We start from the raw sequence: 7,166 nt of genomic DNA, 5'->3' as shown, positions 1-7,166 counted from the left end.
TCGTGATCCACCTGCCTCGGCCTCCCAAAGTGCTGGGATTACAGGCAATCTGGTGTATATTTTACACTTACAGCACAATCCAATTTGGACTGGCACCATTTTATTTTTTTCTTTTTTTCTTTTCTAAGTTCTGCCTCAGGATCTAAAGGACTGGCACCATTTTAAGTGCTTGAGAGCCACATGTGACCACTGGCTACCAAATTGGACGGCAGACCTAGAAAGTGTTTGTGCCTATTCATTTGCATATCTATGCATATTCATTTGACATCCATTTCACAGATGTTTATTGGGCGACTACTCTGCCAACTACTGTTCTAGGTATTTGGATACATTGGTTCAGTCCCAGAATTTATATTTTACTGGGGGAGAGAGAGAGACAAAAATCATAAACAAATAAGATATCAAAGAGTGATAATGATACAAAGAGAATAAAGCAGGGTAAGAGGAAGTCAGTGATGGGATGGGAAGCCTGCTATTCCAGATGGAGTGGTCATAAGGGACTTCTTGGAAGAGGTGACATTTGGGGTGAGAACTGAATATCATGAAGAAGTGTGTCATGCAGCAACGGAGGGCAATACACTCTAAGCTGATGGGAGAGTATATGGACATATACTATAGTATATATGTGTGTATATATGTACATTTATACACATGCATACATCCAGGGGATGGAGATGAGCTCAGCATTTCAAGGACAAGAACGAAGACCAGTGAGATGGGAGAGGAGAAAAGTGCAGGGCCTGACTTGGGTAAGGTCTTCTAGGCCACAATACAGAGCTTGGATTTTATTCTAAGAGCCTCCAGTGGACCGGCAAAGATTTCTTCTTTTTTTTCTTGTTGTGCAATGGCCTGATCTCGGCTCACCACAATCTCTGCCTCCCAGGTTCAAGCGATTCTCCTGCCTCAGCCTCCCGAGTAGCTGGGATTACAGGCATGCGCCATCAGGCAAAGATTTTAAGCAGGCAAAGACATGACTTGATGAGTCAGTTCCCCCAGAACTGGGAGAATGGTCAGGAGGTGACTGCTGCAGTGCAAAGAGATTCCTTGCAGGGACAGGGCAGCAGAGGTGGAAGTGGTGAGAATCTGTTAGTCCTGCAGGGACAACAGAACCAGGACTGTAAATGGGCTGTGGGGGAAAGGGAAGAATCAGGGACGGCTCCAGTGCTGGGAACTGAGCATCTGGATGAATGAAGCCGTCACCTGAGACAGGGAAGAAAGTGTATCCTGGTTTTAGGGGGAACATCAGAAGTGGGAGTGATCAGGGTGAGAATTGCTGAGAAAGACACCAACCAGGGGTTAAATGAAAAAGAGAATAGAAACCAGCACAGAAGTTCAGGCCAGGACTTGTTTTTGGCCAGGCCTCTCCCAGGTAGAGTTGCCACATGAAATACAGGATGCTCAGTTACATTTGAATGTCAGATAAACAGTGAATCATTTTTTAGTATATATCCCATGCAATATTTGGGGCATACTTCACACTAAAAATTACTTATCTGAAATTTAGATGTAACTAGGCATCCTGTATTTCTACTTGCTAAATCTGGTAACTCTACTCCCAGGCCTGTTTTGCTAAATGCTTTGGAGTCTGGGGTGTGGTGAGAGTAGGCACCTTTTGTACTGGGGCATATCTGTGCACCATGAGCTGAGGACAGTGGGAGAGACCAATCCTGTGTGTCTCTTTTGTACAGAACTTACAGTTTAAAAAGTGCTTTTATTTTCACCACCTCTTTTGATCCTTCTGTGGGCAGACATCACTCTACTTTTTAAATTTCAATGCAAAAGTCAAAGGGGTCAAATGACTTGCTCAAGATCATGTAACTAGCAAGGTACAGAGCCAGGACTAGCACACTGGAAACTTTATGTACCCAGTGTTCATGATACAATTTCTCTTTCCTATCAGAACCTTAGCTTAGCGAGCTCTACTCATGAACTACTCTCAGCTCAAAAGGAGAAAAGTGAGAAGTCTAAGCCAATCTCATAGGGTATTGCCCTGGTGACTGTTACTGGTCAAGGTGGACTCATGACCTAAATCAGCTCAGTCAGCCTGAAAGGAAGGATGTAGCCCATCGTCAGTGGAGACATTTCCCTGTTGTACTCTCCATCCAGACCTAAGTGAGGACATATGTAAATCTCATTTGGACTGGTAACTATCACAATCAATCAAGAAACCAGCCTAGGGTGAAGTTGACTCTGAGGAAAGCTCAGCAGAGAAATGAAAAGAATTTGGGTCCATGATAATCTCTTTGTTTTTGTTTTTTTTTTTTTTTTTTTTTGAGACAGAGTCTCGCTCTGTCACCCAGGCTGGAGTGCAGTGGGGCGATCTTGGATCGCTGCAACCTCCGCCTCCTGGGTTAAAGTGATTCGCCTGCCTCAGCCTCCTGCCTGAGTGGCTTGGATTATAGGTGCACATGGCACCATCACGCATGGCTAAATTTTTGCATTTTTAGTGAAGATGGGGTTTCAACATGTTGACCAGGCTGGTCTTGAACTCCTGACCTTAGGTGATCAGCCAGCCACCTCTGCCTCTCAAAGTGCTGGGATTACAGGCATGAGCCACTGAGCCTAGCCCATGATAATATCTTAAAATTTTTATTTTATTTTATTTTATTTTTTAAAGGTAACAGAGTCTTACTCTGTTACCTAGGCTGGAATGTAGTGGGGCAGTCATAGCTCACTGCAGCCTTGAACTCCTGGGCTCAAACAATCCTCTTGCCTCAGCCTCCCAAGTAGCTAGGACTACAGACACATACCACCATACCCAGTTAATTATTATATTTTGTTTTTGTAGAGACAGGGTCTTGCCATATTGCCCAGGCTGGTCTTGAACCCCTGACCTCAAGTGAGGCTCCTGCTTCGGCCTCCCAAGGAACTGGGATTACAGGCATGGGTCACTGTGCCTGGCTTCCACGATGACATCTTGAGCAGCTGATTTTTACCTGGCTTGCCGCCACTCACTTCTGAGCTCCCGGTTGTGTGAGCTAATACATTGCTTAGTGGTTAAGCCATTTTGACCCAGAATTTTCTGTTCTTTGCCACCCAAATCATCTTGACTGCTGCAATGAACACCTAGCTCTCTTGCCTCCAGGATTTTCCCCATTGTAGTCCATGGCCACTATACCCAGAGACAAAGGCTGAGGTTTTGCCACAGAGCTATTCAGAACAGGTTTCAAATACCAGCACCCTTTAAAGAAGAGTTTTTGAGGTAGGAGGAGACAGTGGCAATACGTGGGCTGATGAGCCTTTGTAGCTGCTCACAGGCAACAGCCAGGAGTGGCAGGAGGGTGATGTTCATGTGATTGCAGAGCCTCCTGCTTAGGAGTTGAAATTGACTTGAGGCCACCAGGGAACCTGGAGAAAAGATGTGATAGGATAGAAAAAAGGTGCAGGAAATGATCCTGGCTCATATATTTTAGGAAGAGCAAACTTGCTTTATCCTTTCAGATGTGTATGAATGAAGCTTTTGAAAAGCAAATAGAGAGTGGGTGTTCTTGAGATCATTCCTTTTTTTTTTTTTTTTTTTTTTTTTTTTTTTTTTTTATTGAGACAGAGTCTCACTCTGTCACCCAGGCTGGAGAGCAGCGGTGTGATCATAGCTCATTGTGGCCTCAACCTCCTGGGCTCAAGCTCTCCTCCCACCTCAGCCTCCCAAGTATCTAGGACTATAGGCACACGCCACCACGCCCAGCTAATTACTGTTTTTTGTTTTCTGTTGAAATGGAGTCTTGCTGTGTTGCTCAGGTCGGTTTCGAACTCTTGGCCTCAAGTGACCCTCCCACCTTGGTCTCCCAAAGTGTTGGGATTGCAGGTATGAGCCACCGTACCCAACCTTGAGATAATTACTTAATAGTTGGTGTTTGCTCAAGTAATTGCCTGGAAGGAATCAGTCCTCTCTCAATTTGCAGTGAGCTATGCTCTGCGGCTCTCCCCGTTTATGCAGAGGAATGGTTTGATTATGTCAAACATCCATGCAGACTCTTTGTCTCCTTCAGGGGCCCTTGAACTTTTGCTCAGCCTACAATTTGGGCTGATCTCTCTCAGAAAAGCCAATGGTTTTTGTTTGTTGGGTTTCACTTGCTCATGGGGAAGGCAAGGCAGATGAGGCTGAGGTCTAAGGGCTTGACCCTATTCCTTTCTAAAGCTACTGTGGTCCTGATGTCATGGTATGGGATGGTATAGTTTATCATTATAAGCAACAGAGCTGGATTTCAAGGCTCTCATATTGATTGTCTAGGGCTACTGTAACAAATTACCATAAAGTTGGTGGCTTGAAATTACAGAAAAGCATTCTCTCACAGTCCTGGAGGCCAGAAGTGTGAAATCAAGGTGTTGGCAGGGCCGTGCTCCCTCTGGAGGCTCTGGGAGATTCTGTCTGTCTTGCCTCTTCCAGCTTCTGGTGGCTCCAGGTGTCCCTTGACTTATGGCCACATCACTCTAGTCTCTGCCTCCTTCTTCACACAGCCTTTTCTTTTGTCTGCATAATCTCCCTCTGCCTCACTCTTATAAGGGCCTCATCACTGGATTTAGGGCCCACCTGCATAACTCAGAATGCTCTCACCGTGAGATCCTTAATTTAATTACATCTGCAAAGACACGTCTTCCAAAAAAGCCACATTCACAGGTTCTGAGACAGGGACGTATGTATTTTGGGAGACCACCATTTACTCACTACACAGCTCTCTTTTGCAACTATCAAGTTATGCCATTGAAACTCTTTGAGTCTCACTGCTGTCATCTACATTTTCATGGGTATATAGCAACTGACTTTCTCATTTCACAGCTTGTGGAGATCCACACCTTCCCCTAAGTGGCTGAAGAGGCATGGGAGGGTGGGGAGGGCTGGAGCTGGGGAGTGGTCTCTGTTATTTGGGTAGGCATGTGGGGAGGCAAGAGGCGTGGGGGAAGGGAGAATGTGCTGTGTACTCTGCCCCACTGAGGGAAGGGAAACCATGGAAGAAGTAGCTGAAGCAGGAACTGTGGGCGGATGTGAGCAGCCCCCACATAGACACACACTACATGTGCTTGCCTGGGTCCTCAACTGGGAACACCAGCCCTGTTCATTTAAAAGCAGATGAAAAATCAAGAAAAACCGATGAGTCAGGGAGGAGGGCAAGGAGGATGAGAAAGGGAAAACAAGAAATAAAATACTGTTAGGTTCTGTCTTAGTCCATTTGTGTTGCTATAAAGGAATACCTAAGGCTGGGTAATTTATAAAGAAAAGAGGTTTATTTGGTTCACAGTTCTGCAGGCTATAGGAAGCATGGTGCTGACATCTGTATCTGGTTAAGGCTTCAGCCTGCTTCCACTCATGGTGGAAGGTTGAGGGAGCTGGCATATGCAGAGATCACATAGAGAGAGTAAGCAAGAGAGAGATGGTGGGGAGGGGCCAGGCTCTTTTTAACAACCAGCTCTCACCGGAACTAATTGAGCGAGAACTCACTTATGACCATAGGACATCACCAAGCTATTCATGAGGAATCTGCTTCCATGACCCAAACACCCCCATCAGGCCTTACCTCCAACATTGGGGATCAGATTTCACTATGAGGTTTGGAGGCATCAAATACTCAAACCATAGCAAGTCTTTCTCTGGTTATGTGTGAAGATAAAACAGAAAACCTCTGTTCTTCTTTAGAATTGTTTTTTTTAAACCCACAAGAAGAAAAAGAGGAGCCAGGACCCTGAGAGCTGCAGTGATCTGAGAGGAGAGTGTTCAGGGACACTCAGATGTCCTGGGCAGGAGGAGCCTCAGAAAGGAGTCCTTGGATAGGATGCTCTGCAGTTTAAAGTGTAGAAGGATTGCACCAGGGACAAAGTCCAGGGGAGCCCAAATTCTGGGTTCTTCTGAGATTTCCCTTCTGGTGTGGTTTGGCTGTGTTTCCACCCAAATTTCATCTTGAATTGTACTTCCCATAATCCCCATGTGTCGTGGGAGGGTCCTGGTGGGAGGTCATTGAACCATGGGGGCAGTTACCCTCATGCTGTTCTCGTGATAGTGAGTGAGTTCTCACAAGATCTGATGGTTTTATAAAGGGCTTTTCCCCCTTTTGCTTGGCACTTCTTCCTGCCGTCAAAGGATATGTTTGCTTCCCCTTCTGCCATGATTGTAAGTTTCCTGAGGCCTCCTGAGCCATGCGGAACTGTGAGTCAATTAAACCTCTTTCCTTTATAAATCATCCAGTCTTGGGCAGTCCTTTATAGCAGCATGAGAACAGGCTAATACACCTTCCCTCAGTGGGGCAGAGCACACTGCACATTCTCCCTTTCCCCCAAGCTTCTTGCCTCCCCCCATGCCTATGCAAATAACAGTGACCACTCCCTCACCCTAGTCCATTTGAATTCCAAGAAAGAAGGGAAAGCACTGTTGATGAATTGTTCACCCTGTGTGAGGACATGTGATCTTGCCTTGTGATGACCCCAGAAAAGGATTATTTAAATAGATGAGGAAACTTCAGCTCAGAGAAATCCAGTGATTTGCCTGAGGTCGCGCGGAGAAATTGATCTGCTTCAGGATTGAAACTCTAGTCTGTCTGGCTTCAAAGTTTCTGTTCTGTCTGCTCTCACTGGCTGCCCTTGAGGCTTCAAAGGAAGTAGCCCCTAACTGGTGCTTACATACGGCAGTTCTTTACTTCTGGTCTCAACTTTTGTTATTTCTCATTTAAAAAGCAAGTGGTGATCATTTGTGTTTCATAAAAGTATGTTATTTAATTGTAATCCTGTATTTCATTGCAAAAGGGTGACTGGTGCACGGTGTGTGCTCACATTCATATTACGACAAGTGTGTAAAATCACTGTGGGTGGCTTCCCAGACATGGTGCCTTTGGGGTTATGTAGCTTGATGGAAGAGCACGCCTTGAAGATTCAACTCCATTACACATTTGCAAATCTCGTAACTAGGGAAACTCTAGCCTAGTTTTCTATCTCTTCGAAATTTTGTCATTGAGGGTAGGGCCAAGATCAAAACACACAATTTTGCATCAAGGATGAATAGTAGCACTGTAGAAACACTGCTGCCAAATAGAGATGTCAAGAATGATTTTCTTCAAACCCACTTTTCCACAACAGTGACGTGTTTCAAGGAAGTGAGTTATCTACCTGAGGGAAGGACAAAAATGTCTTTTCCTTCAGGCCCAGGAAGATCAGATGGCTGAGTCACACCGACAGACAGT

Source organism: Homo sapiens, chromosome 8, assembly GCF_000001405.40.
Source record: "Homo sapiens chromosome 8, GRCh38.p14 Primary Assembly".
Taxonomy (NCBI): domain Eukaryota; kingdom Metazoa; phylum Chordata; class Mammalia; order Primates; family Hominidae; genus Homo; species Homo sapiens.
The sequence above is the reverse complement of the archived record's forward strand: the minus strand, read 5'-3'. Positions refer to the sequence as shown.